Source organism: Homo sapiens, chromosome 22 (genome assembly GCF_000001405.40).
Source record: "Homo sapiens chromosome 22, GRCh38.p14 Primary Assembly".
Taxonomy (NCBI): Eukaryota; Metazoa; Chordata; class Mammalia; order Primates; family Hominidae; genus Homo; species Homo sapiens.
Genome location: NC_000022.11, coordinates 28,638,009 through 28,660,805, shown reverse-complemented (window position 1 = coordinate 28,660,805; position 22,797 = coordinate 28,638,009). Strand labels below are relative to the sequence as shown.

At 40.3% G+C, this 22,797-nt stretch overlaps 1 protein-coding gene and 1 pseudogene across 8 annotated transcripts in view; both read left to right on the top strand.

Annotated features, from left to right (window-relative positions):
• Positions 1-22,797, top strand: part of TTC28 (tetratricopeptide repeat domain 28) — a 701,827-nt gene that overhangs the window by 19,035 nt on the left and 659,995 nt on the right. For 2 of the 8 annotated variants that reach the window (XM_047441214.1, XM_011530018.4), the window contains exon 1: positions 4,015-4,436. The exons of 5 other annotated variants lie outside the window; for them this stretch is intronic. In XM_047441214.1, coding sequence (XP_047297170.1) covers positions 4,413-4,436 — 24 coding nt within the window. In that variant the 5' untranslated portion in view covers positions 4,015-4,412. Of the gene's footprint in view, positions 1-4,014; positions 4,437-14,428; positions 14,648-22,797 lie in introns of those variants that run through there. One more of the 8 variants, XM_017028673.3, reaches the window with a different exon arrangement.
• Positions 17,536-17,827, top strand: RN7SL162P (RNA, 7SL, cytoplasmic 162, pseudogene; annotated as a pseudogene).

The window sequence follows — 22,797 nt, the reverse complement described above, 5'->3', positions numbered from 1 at the left end:
ATGCCTGTAATCCCAGCACTTTGGGAAGCCAACGTGGGTGGATCACCTGAGGTCAGGAGTTCGAGACCAGCCTGGCTAACATTGTGAAACCCCGTCTCTACTGAAAACACAAAAATTAGCCGGGTGTGGTGGCACATGCCTGTAGTATCAGCTACTCGGGAGGTTGAGACAGAAGAATCTCTTGAAACCAGGAGGTGGAGGTTGCAGTGAGCCGAATAGCGCCACTGTACTCCAGTCTGAGTGACAGAGTGAGACTCCATCTCAAAAAACCAAACCAAACCAAACCAAATCAAAACAAAACAAAAACAAAAAATTAGCCGGGTGTGGTGGTGTGTGCCTGCAGTCCCAGCTACTTGGGAGGCTGAGGCAGAAGAATCACTTGAACCTGGGAGGCAGAGGTTGCAGTGAGCTGAGATGGTGCCACTGCATTCCAGTCTGGGCAACAGAGCGAGACTCCGTCTCTAAAAGAAAAAAAATTTCCTTTTCTTACTGTGCTGATGAAAGAAATGATAAAGAAAATCACTACTTGTATATTCCTTGGTTATTGATGAGGAAGAATCAATTTTCATAGTACAAATAAAAGTTAAAGAGAAAATGTGTTAGTACTATAAGTTGTGTTTTGATTCAGAATTTTAGTTTTAGACCAGGTTTGTGAAATAAAGATATAATTTCCTGAAAATATTTTTTTGCTGTTAAAAAAAATGCATTTCAGGCTGTGTGTGGTGGCTCACACATGTAATCCTAGTACTTTGGGAGGCCAAGATGAGAGGATCGCCTGAGCCCAGGAGTTCAAGGTCAGCCTGGGCAACATGATGAAACCCCATCTCCAAAATACAAAAATTAGTTGGGCGTGGTGGTGTGTGTCTGTAGTCCCAGCTACTTGGGAGGCTGAGGTGGGAGGATCAGTTCGGCCCAGGAGGTTGAGGTTGCAGTGAGCCATGATCATGCCACTGCACTCCAGCCTGGGTGACAGAGCGAGACCTTGTCTCAAGAAAAAAAAAAATGCATTTCAGATTTTATTTTTAAATTAAAATAAAAGATTTAGAGACAGTGTCTGGCCCTGTCACCCAGGCTGGAGTTCATTGGTGCTCTTATAGCTCACCCCAGCCTCGGACTCCTAGGCTCAAGGGATTCTCTTGCCTCAGCCTCCTAAGTAGTTGGGATTGCAGGCATGAGCCACCACACCAGGCATATTCTTTATTTGAGCAGGAATTTCTAGTGAAGCTAGAAATGTAGTTATTAATAAATAGTAATTTTGACCTGTAATCCTGGCACTTTGGGAGGCTGAGGCAGGTGGATCACTTGAGTTCAGGAGTTTGAGACTAGCCTGGCCAACTGGTAAAACCCCATCTCCACTAAAAACACAAAAATTAGCTGGACGTGGTGGCATGAACCTGTAGGCCCAGCTACTTGGGAGGCAGAGGCATGAGAATCACTTGAACCTGGGAGGCGGAGGTTGCAATGAGCCAAGATCGTGCCACTGCACTTCATCCTGGGCAACACAGCAAGACTCTGTCTCAAAAAAAAATTAATTTGAGTCCGTTTCTTACCCTTGTAAGAGTTGAAACAGTTGAATGTTTAGAGACATTTTTATACTGTGATGGAGTTATTTTTTGTTTGTTCTTGTTTTTAGCAACAAACATTTATTTCTCACAGTTCTGGAGGTTAGGAAGTTCAACGTCAAGGTGCCAGTCAGTTTGCTTCTGGTGAGGGCCCACTGTCTGCTTTGCAGATAGACACCTTCCTGCTGTTTTCTTACATGATAGGGAGATCATCTCTTTTTTTCTTCAATTGTTTTTTTCTTTTTTTGAGACAGAATCTCACTCTGTCACCCAGGCTAGAGTGCAGTGGCATGATCTTGGCTCACTGTGACCTCCACCTCCCAGGCTCAAGCAATTCTCCTGCCTCAGTCTCCTGACTAGCTGAGATTACAGATGTGCGTCACCATGTCCGGCTAATTTTTGTATTTTTAGTAGAGACGAGGTTTTACCATGTTGGCCAGGCTGATCTGGAAATCCTGACCTCAGGTGATCCACCTGCCTTGGCCTCCCAAAGTGCTGGCATTACAGGCATGAGCCACTGCGCCTGGCACTCAATTTTTAAATTGTAAAATGTATGTCAAATTACCATCTTAATCATTTTTATGTGTACAGTTAAGTGGAATTAAATACATTCATGATGTTGTGCAACTATCACCATTATCCATCTCTATAACTCTTCATCTTGTAAAAGTGAAACTCTATCCACTAAACAATAAAATCCCTATTCCCTCTCTCCAGCCTCTGGCAGCCACCATTCTATTTTCCATCTCGATGATTTTGACTATGCTGCCATGTTTCAAATCATGTCTGTTTGTGAACCCAAAGCAATTTAGAGAAAAATTTTTAATGAAGATTTTTTACTCCTTGCAAGATGGGTTGTAAACATGTTAGCAGCTATAATGAAATATGATTACTCTTCTGCTTTAGAGTACATATTTCTAATTGAAGTTGGAAGAGTTAGAATTATTTCATATATTTACTGGTCAGAACTTTTTCACATGTGCTTGGTTTCCCACAATTGTCATTACATTTTGATTAATTTTAGAGGGAGTTGTGAAAGAGAACTCATTAATTTGGCTCAAAAAATTTTTTGAAAATTTTTCTTGTGTAATATTTTATTACTTTTTGTACATAATAACTTCAGATGCATAAGTATTTTAACATTGGCCTTTTGTAATTCTGAATCCTTAATCATGACACTAGAAATGCATATTATTATGTTTAACAATATTGTAAGAAAGTAAAAAATTCTTTACTAAATTTCCATTTATGCAAAGTTTTAATGTAAGGCAAGTATCTAATATTAAGGAACATGGACCATTTTTAATTTTGTATTTTCAACCCCAGCATATTTTTGAGCTTCAATCAATAATTTTTTTTTTTAGATGGAGTGTTGCTCTGTTGCCCGCCCAGGTTCGAGTGCAGTGGTGTGATTTCAGCTCACTGCAACCTCTGCCTCCCAGGTTCAAGCGATTCTCACGTCTCAGCCTCCCAAGTAGCTGGGACAATAGGTGTGCGCCATCTCACCTAGTTTATTTTTGTATTTTTAGTAGAGATGGGGTTTCACCATGTTGGCCAGGTTTGTCTTGAACTCCTGACCTCAAGTGATTTGCCCACCTTGGCCTCCCAAAGCATTGGGATTATAGGCGTGAGCCACCACGCCCAGCCCAGAAATAATAATTTAGAAAATAAATTGTACACATCTGTGAATTGATTTACTTCTGATTTCTGAGTGGGACAGTAGTGAAGGTAGTAGTTTTATTTTGCAGTGTGGAAGATTATTTTGTTGCCTTTATTCTGCCCACTTTATTCTGTATTGCTTAGGGTACCAGAAATGTGTTGTCAGGTTGGATGTTCTCAGTAGAGAGTAAGAATACCTCCATCTGTGAGAGTTTGCTTTTCTGTAAAGCTACAAATCCAGATATGAAATTTAAAAACCATGTAAACTGTGTTCAACAAGAGTTACATTTCAAAGGCTACTTTAGATTTAGAGAAGGTTGTGTATTGTGGCATTGAGGCGTATGTAGTGGTCAAAATCATGGACTCTGGAGTCTGACTCCCTAGGTTTAATCTAAGCCCCTCCACAACTGTGTGACTTTGGGCAAAAGTCAAACAGTTTAACTTTTAACTTTTCTGCACCTTATTGTCCCACGTATAAAGTGGGAATACTAGCTTGTCTACTTCGCAGGTTTGTTGTGAGCATTAAAAGAATTCAATACCTGTATACTATTTTTTCTTTTTTTGTGTGTGTGTAGCATAATAAAGTATCAGGCAATACGTAAGCACTATTTAAACAGTTCTGGGCATGAAGTAAGGTTAAATAAATGTTAGATACTGTTTTTTTTTGTATTTTTTTAAATTATACTTTAAGTTCTAGGGTACATGTGCACAACGTGCAGATTTGTTATATACATGTGCCATGTTGGTGTGCTGCAGCCATTAACTCGTCATTTACATTAGGTATATCTCCTAATGCTATCCTTCCCCCCTCTCTCCACGCCACGACAGGCCGGTGGGAATTGAACAATGAGATATTGTTTTTGTTATTATTACACTTCAGAGTAGCACGAGATGATTAACTGTTGGATACAGATTGGAGTCACTGATTTTCATCCCTTGCACAAAATTGTAGATTATTAAACAGATAGTTTGTGTGTCCTTGGAACAGAATGTATTTTGCCAGTTAAATTATTGCTGCATATCCATCCATCTTGTTTATTCTTAGCTGCAAAGATATCTTATGTATTCTGCTTTGTGATCCTGGGACTGAGATTCTGCAAGCAACATTTCAGCTTTGCCAGCTGCTCCCTGTTGCGAGTGGTGGGTGGTAAAGATCTAGAAGAGGCAGAGGGATTTGCTCGTATCCTCGTCATGGCCTTCCTCTCTGCTGTTCCTGTGAGTGCTGCCTTAATGACATTTCTTTATCTCTGCAGCAGCAGTACCTTCCTGTAGCAGTTACTGGATCCAGTTAGCAGTTTTCCCAACATTTGAGGACCAGTTTTATCAAGCTTCCTTTAGAGTCCACTAGAGTCCCAGGCTCCTTGGGCCTCTCCTGGGAAATTAGAAAAACCAGCACAGCTGAGTAGTGCCCTCTCAGAAGTCTGAGTTTAAGTTCCCTGGGTCCCTCCTCTGAGCGTTTGTTAACTCAGCCTTAGGGGTGGTAGCTGCTTCCTGCAGTTGCTATCTGTGTTATCTTTGCGTCCTTTCAGCTTTTTACTTAAAAATTTCAAACTCAGTTAACAAATTCTTGTATTACATTTTATCTGTTCAAATAACTGATGTAGTTTCTGTCTTCTAACTGAATCCTGACGAGATAGAGGTGATAAGGAGTAGGTGTCAACCTGGGTTCACTTAAGAACTTGTCATTACCTATTTTGAGGGTGGGGGAAGTTTTTTTTTTTTTTTCTTTTTTTTGAGACGGAGTCTTGCTCTGTCGCCCAGGCTGGAGTGCAGTGGCACAATCTCGGCTCACTGCAAGCTCCGCCTCCCGGGTTCACGCCATTCTCCTGCCTCAGCCTCCTGAGTAGCGGGGACTACAGGCGCCCGCCACGGCGCCTGGCTAAGTTTTTGTATTTTTAGTAGAGACGGGGTTGCACCGTGGTCACGATCTCCTGACCTCGTGATCCGCCCGCCTGGGCCTCCCAAAGTGCTGGGAGGCGTGAGCCACCACGCCCGGCCTAGGGTGAGGGGAATTCTAAGATGAAATAGTGTATCTTGTTTTTTTGAAATAATTTGATAAAGTAACATCTTAGGGACAACGTGAATTTTATAGACACTGATAATAAAGTTATTGAATTAGACTACCATAAAGTTCATAGAAATTTGCAGGAAGTCTGTACCAAGACACAGGACTATTTTTAAAAATCTTGTCTTATTTAATAGTACAGTTTCCTATATGAAGGCATAAAAGGCATGTTTATTGGGTTTGTAGTTTTCACAAATATGAAATGGATAGATAATACATGGAAAGATTTAGGATTCTAAGATATGTTGATATACTAGAATGATATGAAATCATCAAGATAGTCTGTAATCTATAGGGTAGGGACCATGTTTATTTTCTTTTATTATGTTCAGTGTTCAGTAAATGCCTGGCACAGAGCACATGTGCTCAATAGTTGAAGACATTGATAAATCAAGGCAACATTCATCAGTTATAAGTGATGTCCTGCATTTAGGTTCAAATACATATGAATAAACCTTATCAGTAATTTATAGGAAAAGATATTGAGGTTATCTGTAAGTATAATATGAACTAACCATATTTAATCTCTAAAAAGCTAAAGAATATAGTCCTAGTATTCATTAATGAATATAGAGTTATGCTCTAAAAAGCTGTTCTGCTCTATTTTGAATTTGAGTCCAGTTTGAGGAATCATATTTTTAGAGGAACATATTAAGTAGAGAGCATCCTAAAAAGTGACTAGGTCATATGATGAACATTTGAGGGAAGTTAGGGCATTTAGCTTAGAAAGGAAACATTAAGGAAACATTTCCCACTTCCCACCTAAGGAGTTGCTAGTCCACTGAAGATGGTTGAAGTGACGAATTTGTGATAACATCCTAAAGGATGTAAGATGACACTTCACAGTGAGGGAAGGGAAAGAAAGGAGTGGGCATTTAATAATTTATTTTAAGGCCAGGCATGGTGGCTCACGCCTGTAATCCCAGCACTTTGGGAGGCCGAGGCGGGTGGATTACCTGAGATCAGGAGTTTGAGACCATCCTGGCCAACATGGTGAAACCCCGTCTCTACTAAAAATACAAAAATTAGCTGGGCATGGTGGCGGGCACCTGTAATCCCGGATACTTGGGAGGCTGAGGCAGGAGAATCGCTTGAACCCAGGAGGCAGAGGTTGCAGTGAGCTGAGATTGCGCCACTGCACTCCAGCCTGGTGACAGAGCGAGACTCCGCCTCAAAAAAATATATATATTTATTTTAAGCCCTTTGTCACCTCTGAGCAGTTCCTCACCAGGCCCTTAGCAGAATCTCAGTTCTGAGAAGGCATAAGCTGCCTTGGGTGTACATAGTCCTTAATTAAGGACTTATTAGATTGCTGCCTTTTAGCCCTCACAAGTAACTGAGGGCACTTGGGCTTTTAAATGGAGAAATGGTGGGAGAGCTACAGCTTATCAAAGACAAATGAACAGGTACTCTGACTAGCTTATCTAGCCAATCCCTTTATAATGTCCTCATCTATCCTTCTCTCTTCTCTCTCATTTTTTCTCCCAAGTGAAAAAAGGAATGTTGTAAGAACGGAAGTTCAGCACACAATAGTCCTAAACCATAGATGTTACAGAGGCATACAAGACATTTGAGAGTGCACAATATCTGAAGACAGAAGACTTAAGTGTCTTCTTACGTCATTTTCGGACATGTAAGAGAGGAAATAATTTCTTCTACTCTCTTATGTTTACAGTCTGGGGCCGTGCAAATTAAACTGACACAACATTAACAGGAGAAAAGGGTTTGTGGTATGTATAAGGGAGCTAACAAAAGGAGTAGCTGGCTTATTAGATCGGTAGAGTTAAAGGCTTATATACCTAGTATGGGAAGGGAAGTGGGGAGAAACAGCTTCTATGGGAGGAATAAATAGGTTTCTTTCAGAAAAACAAATGGGTTTCTAGAAGAACAAATGAGAGATAAGAAAGTTTGTGATAATGTTAGTCTGTACAGGTATGAGCGGTCTCTCCATCTTCTCCAGGGCCATATAACTCCTGGAAGAGAGGATTTATGGTAGGGTTGGTTTTTTTTTTTTTTAAGACAAGGTCTCACCCCCATCACCCAGGCTGGAGTGCAGTGGCACCATCTCAGCTCACTGCAGTCTTGACTTCCCAGGCTCAGGTGATTCTCCCACCTCAGCTTCGTGAGTAGCTGGGACTACGGACTCACACCACATTCCTGGCAATTTTTTGTATTTTTAGTAGAGATGGGGTTTCGCCATGTTACCCAGGCTGGTCTGGAACTCCTGGGCTCAAGTGATCCACCTGCCTTGGCCTCCCAAAGTGCTGGGATTACAGGCATGAGCCACCATGCTCAGCATATGGTATGTTTATTTTTATTCTTCCTCCTGGGAGTAGACCTGCTCCAAAGAGGGAATTTATGGCAGGCTTATTTCCCAGAAGTCACTGCTTTTAGTCAGGGAAGCTCTGAGAAATCTTCCTCTATCTGTGGAATTTCAAATGTCTTCAGCTTAAAATAATTTTCATACCAACTTTGGGGTTCCTAGTGAGTCCACACAAGCACAAAACTCAGATCAATGGGAGTTTTAGGGAGGCAGATTTAGGTAAATGAAAGGAAAACCTTTCAGAACAGGAAATGATATAAAGTGGCATTTTCTGGTGAGGGCTTGGAGTATAGGTATTCTGTGGTATATACTGAGTGCATATTTATACAATAGGGATCAGTTGGGCAAATGGTAAAGATGCTGTCAGTTTCCTTTTGTAATATTGAGATGCTTAACCTGGTGTCTCATCTGATTGAAGGACCATCCTGCTGGCTTACAGAACAGGTTCAGGGAGTACCTGCAGGCAAAACTAGATTTTTTTGAAGAAATATTTGTTGTTTCAGCCTGGAACAAATTATATTCTCAAAGCTTTGCAATAAAAACAGCTAAGAAGATTTTGGTCTGAAAAATTTCTAGACTGGTGTTACCAGACATCTGTATTACCTGTGGAACAAAATCTCAAAATGTTTCCATAGACATTTAGTTCTGAGCAATATAACTTCCCTTTGAATTTGTCAGATTGTATTATCATTGATGTTCCTTTAAATAACTAAATAGACTAAGATTATTGAGATTTTTGAAGATGTCTGGCAAAAACAGTACAGTAGTTGCTGTCAAGCCATTATTTCTGACAGCAATTAGAATTAGATTGCAGAATTGATTAACCAGCATAAGCTTTTATTCTCTGTAGCAAGGCAACTTGAACCAGATCACTGCTTCCTAGGTTTTGGGGACTCCAAACAGAGCCCATGGTTCAGTTCACATGTACACCAAGCATTATCTGTAGACTGGGTAAATAAAATAACTTTTTCACATATATGCTTCTGTTTTTTAAAATATGTATAGATACAGTATTGATGCATGGAATATAATGTATTTAAAGGCAATGCTAAATTCAGGCCAGGCACAGTGGCTCATGCCTGTAATCCCAGCACTTTGGGAGGCCAATGTGGGCGGATCACCTGAGGTCAGGAGTTCGAGACCAGCCTGGCCAATGTGGTGAAACCCTGTCTCTACTAAAAATACAAAAATTAGCCAGGTGTGGTGGAGAGCACCTGTAATCCCAGCTACTTGGGAGGCTGAGGCAGGAGAGTTGCTTGAACCTGGGAGGTGGAGGTTGCAGAGAGCCAAGACCCAGCCGTTGCACTCCAGTCTGGGCAACAAGAGTGAAACTCCATTTCAAAACAAACAAACAAACAAACAAAAACTGCATTCAGAGTAGCCTTTGCTATTTCTTTGTATTTTCTCAGTTAGCTGTCTTAAAATGTATAATTAAGGGATCAGAAAAACTTTTTTATGTTTAAGAGAGGTCAGGAGGGTGGCGAGGGCCAAGCACAGTGGCTTGTGCCTGTAATCCCAGCACTTTGGGAGGCTGAGGTGGGAGAATCGCTTGAGCCAAGGAGTTTGAGACCAGCCTGGACAACAAAGTGACTATATCTACAAAAAAATAAAAAATTAGCCAGGTGTGGTGGCATACACCTGTGGTCCCAGTTACATGGGAGGCTGAGGCAGGAGGATTGCCTGAACCTGGGAGGTTGAGACTGCAATGAGCCATGCTTGTGCCACTGTACTCCAGCCTAGGCGAAAGAGTACCTGTGGTTCCAGCTACTTGGGAGACTGAGGTGGGAAGATCACCTGATCCTGGGAGGTTGAGGTCACAGTGAGCTCAGATCACGCCACTGCACTCCAGCTTGGGCAACACAGCAAGACCCTGTCTCAAAAAAAAGGAGTGACAGAGTGACTGGGTGCAGTGGCTCACGCCTGTAATCCCAGCACTTTGGGAGGCCAAGGTGGGAGACTCACTTGAGGACAGGAGTTCGACACCAGCCTGTGCAACATAGTGAGACTCTGTTTCTAATTAAAAACAAAAGAGATCAAGAGACTTGAAAGTACATATTGGCAACTGTTGAGCTAGATCAGAGGTTGGCATACTTTCTATAAAGGGCTAGATGATGCTTTGTGGGCTATATGGTCTATGTTGCAGCTACTGAGTCCCACCACTGTAGCACAAAACAGCCATAGATAACAGGTAACTGAATGGATATGGCTGTGTTCCAGTAAAACTGTATTTCCAAAAACAGGCAGCAGGCTAGATTTGACTCACACCTAACATTTGCTGACTCCTGTTCTAGATCTTGTAAAAGTTGTTTCAGATTCTAAGACCTAAGTTTTAAAAAATGGGAATGAGAGGAGAGGTTAGACTACTACCTTGTTTTATACCTCACAGAACAGTCAGGAGATCATAGATCATCCCTGACAACCTTGACTCTTATATTGATGTAAAATAAAGGTCTTGTAAGAGTGCTGGTGACTGTGAAGTTTAGAATCCTATGCTTGTATAGTTAGACCTAGGTTTCTCTCTCCCTTGGATGATGCTGAAAATAGTTATATTTGCATTAATTATGCATTCCTAGGTTCATGCTGTGTTTTGTGTTTGTGTTCATTTCTAGCACCACTTCCTTCTAATTATCTCATGGCAGGTTTCTTTTGATCATATTTATTTTATAAAAAATAGCTTATCCCTGATTCTAGCATATTGCACTTTGAGGCTGTCAGAAAAAATTGTGAAAGACTCGAAAAGATTACTGGGTATCTTCAGTGGAAAACTGGGTGGTCTGGAATGCAGTTTATCCTTCTGTTTTATCCAATTCTAAGAGATTTGCACCTTTCATTGTCTTTGAGCTATTTTCTATTTTTGTACATCGTAGATAATTGATAGCAGTATAAGTGATTCTTGTCCATAGGCACGCAAATTATTCTTTCCAAATGGAAGGGTGATCAATTTTCCTTTTCTTCTCCCCTGCAAAGGCCAGTTGTGCATCTAGTATTTAGAAATTCATTTCAGCATTCCTGATTGCCTTTTCATGTGTGGTACTTGGAATTCTCCTCTGAACTAGTTGTAATATCTTACTGGATCACTCATTAATTAATGAGTTAAAGTCTTTGATGTGTGTTCATTTTATGCTTGTATGACAGTCATGATTATACCTTCACAAAAATTGATATTTTAATAGGAACAGGGTCCTTTAGTGGTTTTGATTTCACTGGTTCCCCTCTCACAAAGCCTATCAAAAAAAGAAGGTGTGACAGTACCAATAAGTTCAGAGATCAGTAATTGCCTCAGGGATTTTTATTATTTATCATAAGAGCTGAAAAACAATGCTTTTAAAATTTAATGGCATATAACATAAATTATTCATGCTTATGTGTTAAGCATTCAAATTGCATGTATTTGTAACTTGGTTGAATTTGAAATTTTAATAATTAATTTTGACCTTGTATATTTGAATCTGTCATTATAACTGAACAAGCCAAATGATTTTCTCCATTAGCCTTAAAAGAAGTTGGCTATTTACCATATAAAATGGTAGTGACTTACTTGTAACCATCTCAAGAGAACACTGTAGAGATACAAAGGCTAGAATATCACAATTATGTTTTGGTAAATCTCCAGATTAGAGTTTATATTGAATAGTTTGTAGTTAAGATTCTATTATTCATGGGCATGAAACCATGGAAATTAACAAGTCAATGCAGTTTGCAGGTGATATGACCTAGCCTTTCTTAAAACAAACAAAACCTCAGCAGGTTATAAAAACTATAAACTGGGAACTGGATCATTTTATATTTTTAATTTATTTAAAAAATTTTATTTATATATATTTTATTTCAATAGCTTTTGGGGTACAAGTCATTTTTGATTACATGGATGAATTGTGTAGTGGGTGAAGTCTGAGATTTTAGTGCAGTCATCACCAGAGTGGTGTACATTGTACCCAATATCCAATATGTAGTTTTTTATCCCTTAGCCCTGTCCCACCTCCTACCTCCTGAGTCTCCAATGTCTTTTATACCACTCTATATGTCTTTGTGTACCCATAGCTTAGCTCCCATTTATAAGTGAGAACATGTGGGATTACGTTTTCCATTCCCTAACTCTGGAATGGAATCATCTTCACTTAGAATAATGGCCTGCAGCTTCATCCAAGTTGCTGCAGCAGACATTATTTCATTCTTTTTTATGGTTGAGTAGTATTCCATGGTGTATACATACCACATTTTCCTTTCTTTCTTTTCTTTCCTTTCTTTCTCTCTCTCTCTCTCTCCTTTTCTTTTCTTTCTTTTTTTTGAGACAAGGTTTCGCTCTGTTTCCCAGACTGGAGTGCAATGGCGTGATCTCGGCTCACTGCAACCTCTGCCTCATAGGCTCCAGCAATTCTCCTGTCTCAGCCTCCCAACTAGCCAGGACTACAGGCACAGGCCACCACGCCCAGCTAATTTTTGTATTTTTAGTAGAGACAGGGTTTCACCCTGTTGCCCAGGCTGGTCTCGAATTCTGGAGCTCAGGTGATCCACCCACCTTGGCCTTCCAAAGTGCTGGAATTACAGGCATGAGCCACTGTGCCTGGCCCACATTTTCTTTTTTCCCTCATCAGTGGGCATTTAGGTTGGTTCCATATCTTTGCAATTGTGAATTGTGGGGCAATAAACATATGCATGCATGTGTCTTTTTGATATAATGACTTCTTTTCCTTTGGGTGGATACCCAGTAGTGGGATTGTTGGATTAAATGATAGATCTACTTTTAGTTCTTTGAGAAATTGCCATACTGTTTTACACAGATGTTGTACTAATTTGCATTCCCACCAGCAGTGTATAAGCATTTCTTTTCACCATATCCATGTCAACATCTATTGTTTTTTGGTTTTTTAATAATGGCCATTCTGGCTGGGATACAGTGGTGTCTCATTGTGGTTTTAATGTGCATTTCCCTGATGATTACTGATGTCGAGCATTTTTTTTTTTTTTTTTTTTTGACAGAGTCTCGTTTGGTCGCCCAGGCTGGAGTGCAGTAGCACGATCTTGGCTCGCTGCAAGCTCCGCCTCCTGGGTTCACGACATTCTCCTGCCTCAGCCTCCCAAGTAGCTGGGACTACAGGCGCCCACTACCATGCCCGTCTAATTTTTTGTATTTTTGGGAGAGACGGGGTTTCACCGTGTTAGCCAGGATGGTCTTGGTCTCCTGACCTCATGATCCGCCCGCCTCGGCCTCCCAAAGTGCTGGGATTACAGGCGTGAGCCACCATGCCCAGCGATGTTGATCATTTTTAAATATATTTGTTGGCCATTTGTATATCTTCTTTTGAGAAATGTCTATTGCCCACTTTTTTAATTTTTATTTTATTTTATTTTATTTTTGAGAGGGAGTCTCACTCTGTCGCCCAGGCTGGAGTGCAGTGGCTCGATCTTGGCTCACTGCAAGCTTCGCCTCCCAGGTTCACACCATTCTCTTGCCTCAGCCTCCCGAGTAGCTGGGACTACAGGCGCCTGCCACCACACCCGGCTAATTTTTTGTATTTTTAGTAGAGACGGGGTTTCACCGTGTTGGCCAGGATGGTCTCGATCTCCTGACCTCATGATCTGCCCACCTTGGCCTCCCAAAGTGCTGAGATTACAGGCGTGAGCCACCACGCCTGGCCCATTTGCCCGCTTTTTGATGGGATTGTGTTTTTCTTGATGATTTGTTTGAGTTCCTTGTGGATTCTTGACATTAGATGCATAGTTTGCAAATACCTTCTTCCTCTCTGTGGGCTGTCTGTTCACTCTGATGATTATTCCTTTTGCTGTGCAGAGGCTCACTAGTTTAAGTCCTATTTATTTATTTTTGTCTTTGTTGCTTTTGCTTCTGGGGTCTTAGTCATAAATTCTTTGCCTAGGCCAATGTCCAGAAGAGTTTTTCCTAGATTTTCTTCTAGAATTTCTATGATTTCAGGTCCTAGATTTAAGTCCTTAATCCATCCCAAGTTGATTTCTGTATATGGTGAAAGACAGGGAATCCAGCTTCACTCCTCTACATGTGGCTATTCAGTCTTCCCAGCACCATATACCAAATAGGGTGTCCTCTTCCCCAGTTTTTGTTTTTGTATGCTTTATCAAAGATCAGTTGGTTGTAAGTATTTGGCTTTATTTCTGGGTTCTATATTGTGTTCCATTAGTCTATGTGTCTACTTTTATACCAGTACCATGCCATTCCAGTTAGTACAGTCTTATAGTACAATTTGAAGTCCAACAATGTAATGCCTCCAGATAAGTCATTTTTGCTTAGGATTGCTTTGGCTATTTGGGTTCTCTTTTGATTTGATTTCTTTCTTTCCATTCTTTCCTTTCTTTCTTTCGACAGAGTTTCGTTCTGTCGCCCAGGCTGGACTGCAGTGGTGTGATCTTGGCTTACTGCAGCCTCCACCTCCTGTTTCAAGTGATTCTCATGCCTCAGCCTCTCAAGTAGCTGGGATTACAGGCATACACCACCATGCCAGGCTAATTTTTGTATTTTTAGTAGAGATGGCATTTTGCCATGCTGGCCAGGCTGATCTTGAACTCCTGGCCTGAAGTGATCCCCCCATCTCAGCCTCCCAGAGTGCTGGGATTACAGGTGTGAGCCACCACACCTGGCCCTCTGTCGATTTCATAAGAATATTAGGGTTGCTATCTCTAATTCTGTGAAAAATGACATTGGTATCCTGATAGAAATTGCACTGAATCTGCAGATTGCCCTGGGCAGTATGGTCATTTTCACAATATTGATTTTTCTACTCCATGAGCATGGGATAGATTTCTATTTGTTTGTGTCATCTGTGATTTCTTTCAGCAGTGTTTTGTAGTTCTCCTTATAGAGATCTTTCACCTCCCAGGTCAAGTATATTCCCATGTATTTTATCTTCTCTGCAGCCACTGTAAAAAGGACTGAGTTTCTGATTTGATTCCCAGCTTGATTGTTGCCAGTGCATAGCAGTGCCACTGATCTGTGTACATCGATTTTGCAACCTGAAACCCTATCAAATCTAGGAGTCCTTTGGAGGAGTTTTCATGGTCCTCCAGGTATGCTATCATATCATCGGCAGAGACAGCTTGACCTCCTCCCTTCCTACTTGGATGCCCTTCACTTTTTTCTCTGGCCTGAGTGTTCTGGCTAGGATCCTCAGTACTGTATTGAATAGAACTGGTGAAAATGGGCATCATTATCTCGTTGCAGTTCCGAGGGGGAATGCCTTCAACTTTTCCCCGTTCAGTATGTTGTTGACTGTAAGTTTATCATACATGCTTTTATTATTTTGAGGTATGTTTCTTCATGCCTGCAATCCTAGCTACGTGGGACGCTGAGGCACGAGAATCACTTGAACCAGGAGGTGGAGGTTGCAGTGAGCCGAGATCACATTCCCTTAATCACAAAAGGATGCCGCATTTTATTAAGTGTTCTTTCTGTGTCTTTTGAAATGATCATATGGTTTTTGTTTTTAATTTTGTTTATGTCATGAGTCACATTTATTGGCTTACACATGTTGAACCATCCCAGCATCCCTAGGATGAAACCCGCTTGATCATGGCGAATTATCTTTTTTTTTTTTTTTTTGAGATGTAGTCTCGCTCTGTTGCCCAGACTGGAGTGCAGTGGCTTGATCTTGGCTCCCTGCACCCCTGGACTCCTGGGTACAAGCAATTCTCCTGCCTCAGCCTCCTCAGAAGCTGGGACTACAGGCGCATGCCACCACGCCCGGCTAAATTTTGTATTTTTAGTAGAGATGGGGTTTCACCATGTTGGCCAGGATGGTCTTGATCTCCTGACCTTGTGATCCCCCCACCTTGGCCTCCCAAAGTGCTGGGATTACAGGCATGAGCTACCGCGCCGGCCTGAATTATCTTTTTGATGTACTGTTGGATTTGGTTTGCTAGTATTTTGTTGAGGATTTTTGCATCTGTGTTCGTCAGGGATATTGGTTTGTAGTTTTCTTTTTTGGTTATGCCCTTGAACTGGAGCATTATTATTATTACAATTTTTTTTTGAGACGGAGTTTCACCCTTGTTGCCCAGCACGAACTGGAGCATTTTTTTTTTTTGAGACGGAGTCTCACTCTGTCGCCCAGGCGAGTGCAGTGGCGCAATCTCAGCTCACTGCAAGCTCTGCCTCCTGGGTTCACACCATTCTCCTGCCTCAGCCTCCTGAGTAGCTGGGACTACAGGTGCCTGCCACCACGCCCGGCTAATTTTTTGTATTTTTAGTAGAGATGGGGTTTCACTGTGTTAGCCAGGATGGTCTTGATCTCCTGACCTCATGATCTGCGCACCTCAGCCTCCCAAAGTGTTGGGATTACAGGGGTGAGCCACCGCGCCCCACTGAACTGGAGCATTTAAAAAATTTTAATTTAGTTTAATTTTTGAGACAGGTTCTCACTTTGTTGCCCAGGCTGGAGTGCAGTGGTGCGATCTCGGCTTACTGCATCCTTGACCTCCTGGGCTCAGGCAATCCTCCCACCTCAGCCTCCCAAGTAGCTGGGACTACAGGCATGTGTAAAAGCTTGGCTAATTTTTGTATTTTTAGTAGAGATGGGGTTTCACCTTGTTGCCCAGGCTGGTCTTGAACTCCTGAGCTCAAGTGATTTGCCCGTCTTGGCCTCCTGAAGTGCTGGGGATTATAGGCGTGAGCCACTGCGCCCAGCCTGGAACATTTTTAAATGGGCAAAAGTAACTTTGGATATAGTTCTAGCATGGGTCATTCAGGTTGCAAGAAAGACAGGCCTCAGTAGTCATTTAGCATTTCCCAAACTGTAGGAACAGAGTTCTGTATTTTTTTTTTTTTTTTTGAGATGGAGTCTTGCTCTGTCGCCCAGGCTGGGGTGCAGTGGTGCGATTTTGGCTCACTGCAACCTCCGCCTCCTGGGTTCATGCCATTCTCCTGCCTCAGCCTCCTCAGTAGCTGGGACTACAGGTGCCTGCCACCACGCCCGGCTAATTTTTTGTATTTTTAGTAGAGTCAGTGTTTCACCGTGTTAGCCAGGATGGTCTCGATCTCCTGACCTCGTGATCCGCCTGCCTCGGCCTCCCAAAGTGCTGGGATTACAGGCGTGAGCCACCGCGCCCAGCCAAGTTCTGTATTATCATAGTAGATATTCAAATAATTCTGAAAAGTATAAAATGGTTAAGAGCATGGACTCCAGAGCCAGCCTGCACAAGGGTTTGAATCACCTCTACTGCATACTACCCTGTTACACTTTCACACCCTCACCTTTTGATAGTAAAGTTATTTAACCTTTTTGTGCCTTGTTTCTTCCCCTACTAGAGATAATAATAGTACCTATCTTATAGAGTTTTGTGAAGAGTAAATCAGCTAACATATGTAAAGTACTTAGAACTGTGCCAGGGGCATATTAAGTGCTCAATAATTATAATAATTCTTATCCTTATTTGGATGCAGTGTATAGTCTATGTAATTCTTGGAGACTCACAATATACGTTAACATATTAAAGTCTCTAAGGAAAACCTACAGTAACAAAATCTGTTTTCTTAGTAATTATTTGAAAGAACTGGCAACTATTGACCTAGAATCAGCTAAAAGAAGTTTCAAATCTTAAGACATAATTTTTTCAAAGATGTGGGTGAGGAATTTCTCCCAAATAATTTACATTAATTTTCCCCAAATTGTTTGACCATGGAATACCTTTTCAAGGATGCCTACTAAGATAATTTTAAGGAAACGTTTGAGAAGTATTCACTTAATTGACCCAAGGACTGGGAATTTATTGAAGGATCAATGGCAATTGTGCTTCAGGGTTTGGCCATTCTGAGAGTTGCTAACCTCTTGTTGTGTGTCTAGTTCTTTCTTACACTCTTATATTAGCTTCTCTATGTATCTTTATGACAGCCTACAAAAGCTCTAAACCAGCTCTGTCCAATAGTACTTTCTGTGATGATAGAAATGTTCTTTATCTATGCCAGACGCAGTGGCACGTGCCTGTAGTCCCAGCTGCTTGGGAGGCTGAGGCAGGAGGGTTGCTTGAACCTAGGAGTTGTAGGTTATAGTACGCTATGATGGTGTCCACATTAAGTTCAGCGTCAATATGGTGACCTCCTGGGAGCGGGGACCACCAGATTGCCTAAGGAGGGTGAACCAGCCCAGGTCAGAAAGAAAACAGGTCAAAACTCCTCTGCTGATCAATAGTGGGATCACACCTGTGAATGGTGAATAGCCACTGCACTCCAGCCTGGGCTGAGACCCTGTCTCTTTAGGAAAAAAAAATAAGAATAAAAAATGTTCTCTATCTGCACTCTCCAATCTGGTAGCCACTAGCTACCATGTGGCTATTGAGCACTTGCACTGTGGCTAATACATCTGAGGAACTGAATCTTTAATTTTATTTAAGTAAAATAAAAAATTAAACGACCACATATTGCTAATGGCTCCTGTATTGGGCAGTGCAGATCTAAACACACTGGGCCCCAGTTACCTCTCTGACCTTTTACTTTGTACCCTCACCTCTTTCACACTGACCTCTTTGCTGTTTCTGAAACATGCCTGGTCCTTATTGCCTTAATTTTGTTTTCTCTAGAGACCTAATTCCATATGTATCTGCATGGCCAACTTCTTCACTTTCTTTTGATTAGCCATCTTTCTTTGATCTGGAGGATCCCAGTTGGGATCACTGGTTTGAATAGTTGCAGCCTGGTTAGGAGGATTCACCTCTTAAGCACAGGGCTTTGCCAGGTAAAATAAACTGCTTGGGCCTTTCACAGGCGAAGCTAGTGTTTTTTTTTTGTTGTTTTTTTTTTTAAACGGCAAACAGCTTATACTGTTATTATCTATTCACAGGGTTTATCTCTAGTGTCTAGGAGAGTACCTGGCATACAGATAATCTTACTGTATTCTGGCCAAGAAATCTTTGCCTAACCTAAGTTCACAAAACTTTTCCTATTTTCTTTTAGGAGTTTAACTTTTACATTACCCACTTGTTTTAATGTTCCCTTTCCTCCCCCTACTTTTTTTTTTTTTTATTAATCAAATTTAAAAATGATTTTATTTTTCTAAATTAACTTGTTTTTTACTCCTGTTATTTCCTTAGTGATTACAACATGCATTCTTGACTCAATATGGTCTAATAAAAGTAATAGTTTTACTACTTAACAGATTCTGCTAGAAACTTAAAACCTTGATATGGTGTGTCATGTATAGATGAGCAACATCTAAGCCATCAGGAGCTTGTTAAATGCAGAATCTCAAGCCCTGTTCCAAACCTATTGAATCAGAATGGGTAATTTATACGTACACTAAGGTTTGGGAAATACTTTCTTAGAGAACTTTAGCTCCATTTATTATCTCCTGCATTTTGTGTTATAAATTTTTAAACTTATTATTTTGTATAGCTGATGTTCATTTATATTTACTCATATATTTACTCTTTCCAGTATTATTCATTCCCTCCTGCATTCCTCTGCTTCTGTCTGGGATAGTTTTCTTTCAGTATTTTCTTTAATATTTCTTTTAGTGTAGGCCTGCTATTTATTAATTCCCTCAGTTTTCATTTCTTTAATTGAGATGCAATTCACACCATAAAAGTCACCATTTTAAAGTATACAATTCAGTGGTTTTTAGTATTTTCACAAGGTTGTTCAACCATACCACTATCTAATTCTAGAACATTTTCCTCGCTCTCAAAAGAAATCTGGTGCCATTAAGAGTCAATCCTCATTTTCCTCTCCTTCCATCCTCTGACAACCACCAATCTGCTTTCCATATCAATGGATTTGTCTACTATGGAGATTTAATAAATTGAATCATACAGTATATGGCCTTTTGTGACTTGCTTCTTGCACTTAACATAATATTTTTAAGGTTCATCCATGTTGTAATGTGTGTTTTATTCATTTCTTTATTTTTTTTTTTTGAGACGGAGTCTTGCTCTGTCGCCAGGCTGGAGTGTAGTGGTGCGATCTCGGCTCACTGCAACTTCCACTTCCTGGGTTCAAGTGATTCCCCTGCCTCAGCCTTCTGAGTAGCTGGGACTACAGGCACGCGCCACCACGCCCGGCTAATTGTTTGCATTTTAGTAGAAATGGGGTCTCACCATGTTGGCCAGGATGGTCTCGATCTCCTGACCTCGTGATCCACCTACCTCGGCCTCCCATAGTGCTGGGATTACAGATGTGAGCCACTGTGCCTGGCCTATTCATTACTTTTTTATGGTTGAGTAGTATTCCATTGTATGGTTTTCCCACATTTTGTTTATTCACTAATTAATGGATATTTTGGTTGTTTCCACTTTTTGGCTATTATAAATCTGCTATGAAAATTTGTGCACTAGTTTTTCCATGGACAGGTTTTCAGTTCATTTGGGTAGATACCTAAGAGTAGAATTGCTGGATCATATAGTAACTCTATGTTTATCTTTTCTAGGACCTGCCGTACTATTTCCACAGTGGTTGTACCATTTTATATTCCCATGAGTAATGTATGAATATTCCTATTTCATTCTCAGTTTTGAAGAGTATTTTCTCTGAGTATTTTATGTTAGGTGCTATTTCAGCTTCCGTCATTTCTGTTGAGTATGCAGCTTGTAGCTCCTTTCAAGGTAATGTGTCTTATTTCCCTCTGTCTGCTTTAACATTTTCTCTGTTTATTATTATTATTATTATTATTATTTTAACAGTTTGACTATGACAGACGTAGGTGTGATTTTCTTTGTGGTATCTTGGAGTTGAATGAAAGTCTGAAAGCTATGGGTTCAATATTTTATGAGTTGATGTCTCTTATCAGTTTTAGAAAATTCTTGGTCATTGGTATTCAAATATTGTTTCTAACTCCCTTCTCTCCCTTCTTAAATTCTAATTATATGTGTATCAGACCTCTTGGGTATATTACTTAGGTCTCTTATTGCTCATCTTTCCCCCCCCCCCCTTTACTTTTTTTCTCCTCTATAGTTGATTTTGGGGATTTTTTCTTTTTTTTTTGAGATGGGGTCTCACTCTGTTGCCCAGGCTGGAGTGCAGTGGTGTGATCACGGTTCACCACAGCCTAAACCTCCTTAGGCTCAAGTGATCCTCCCACCTCAGTTTTTGTATTTTTAGTAGAGGTGGGGTTTTGCCATGTTCCCCAGGCTGGTCCTGAATTCCTGGGCTCAAGCAATCTACCCACATCGGCCTCCAAAATTGCTGGGATTACAGACTTGAGCCACTGCACCTGGCCATCATTTTGAGGATTTTTCTGTTTCTTATCTTCCAGTTTATTAATCTTGTTGTTAGCTGTATCAAGTCTTGCTAAATCCATTCACACAGTTCTTAATTTCGTGTATTATATATTTTAGTCTTGTACATTGAATTCTTTGTTACATGGTCATTTCTCTGGTGAAATTTTCTCTTATCATCTATTTTGTTTGCTTTGAAAATACATGTATTAGTCCGTTTTCATGCTGCTGATGAAGACATACCCGAAACTGGGCAATTTACAAAAGAAAGAGGTTTAATTGGACTCACAGTTTCACCTGGCTGTGGAGTCCTCACAATCATGGTGGAAAGCAAGGAGGAAGTCACATCTTACATGGATGACAGCAGGCAAAGAGAGAGCTTGTGCAGAAAAACTCCCATTTTTAAAACCGTCAGATCTTGTGAGACTTACTATCACAACAACAGCATGGGAAAGACTGGCTCCCATGATTCAGTTACCTTCCATGGAATCCCTCCCACAACACATGGGAATTCAAGATGAGACTTGGGTGGGGACACAGCCAAACCATATCAGTACACAACTAACATATGCCTTTGCTCATCCATATGGCATCTTTGTGTGAATTTGAAAAAGATCCTACTCTCTAGGCGTAAGAATAGCTTGGTGAATGGAGAGGGGGTAAGGAAAAAGTTACACTCATAAATTGTTGGTAGAAGTGTAAACTGATACAATTTCTTCTGCCTTTTGATTTTTTTCTATCTATATCAGCGTATAAAATCTTTCTTATTCTTTTGGCTGGATTTATAATAATTACATGGATCTAATAAAATTTATGCCTTGCAAAGCCCTGTGCTTATCCATTTTCCTGTTGTCTAACATTTAAATTATTTCTAACATCATGCTAATACAAATGATGCTATTATGACTATCCTTGTATTAATATATGTTATTTTGTTTACACATGTAAGTGCATCTATAAGATAAATTACCAGAAGTGGAGAAAATTTCTAGAATTGAAAGGTTATGCAACTTTTACATTTTTGTAGATGTTCCCAAATTGTTCTGTAAGGAATTGTATCAGGCAAGGCTTGGTGGCTCAGGCCTGTAATCCCAACTCTTAGGTAGTGAGAGGTGGGAGGATAGCTTGAGCCTAGGAGTTTGAGACCTGCTTGGGCAATATAGCGAGACCTCCCCTTCTACCAATAATGTATGAATGTATGGGTATAACTTTTTCCTTACCCCCTTAACCAACAAAATGTATTGCTAATTTTTTATTTCTGATAGTAGGGGAGGTAAAAAAATATTGTCTTTAAGTTTTAATTTTCTTTTAAAATAACTGAGGTCAGACATTTAAAAAAATGTGTTTAAAAGCCACATGGAGTTCCTTTTTTTGTGATTTGTCTGTGTATGTCCTTTGTCCATTTTTTCCATTGAATTGTTTGTGCATTTTATTACTGATTTGTAGGAGCTTTATCCATACTAAGAAAACTAGCCATTTATCATGTGTTGCATTTTTTTAACCGATTTGTTACTAATCTTTTTGGTCTTAATCCATATTTTCCATGCAGACATTAAAATTTTTTATGTTGTCATATTTATCTGTCTTTTCTATTCTGTTTTGTGGCTTATGTGTTGTACTTAGGACTCAGTTCTACATAATAAAAGATTCTTTCCTTTTAATATTTTATAATTTTATTTCAAAATATTTAATTATTTGAATTACCTGTGATTTTTTATATAGAGGGGATAAGTTTTTTTATATATCATTTGAATAATCAAAATTTATAATAGAATTTATATTCTGTTGCTGTTGGATGGCATGTTCTGTACATGTCTGTTGGGTCCATTTGGTCTAAAGTATAGTTCAAGTCTGATGTATTCTGTATTGGTTTCTGTCTGGATGATCTGTCCATTGTTGAAAGTTGCATATTGAAGTTCCCACTATCACAGTATTGCTGTCTATTTCTCCCTTCAGATTTGTTAATATTTGCTTCATATATTTAGGTGCTGTGATTTTGGGTGTATATGTATTTATAA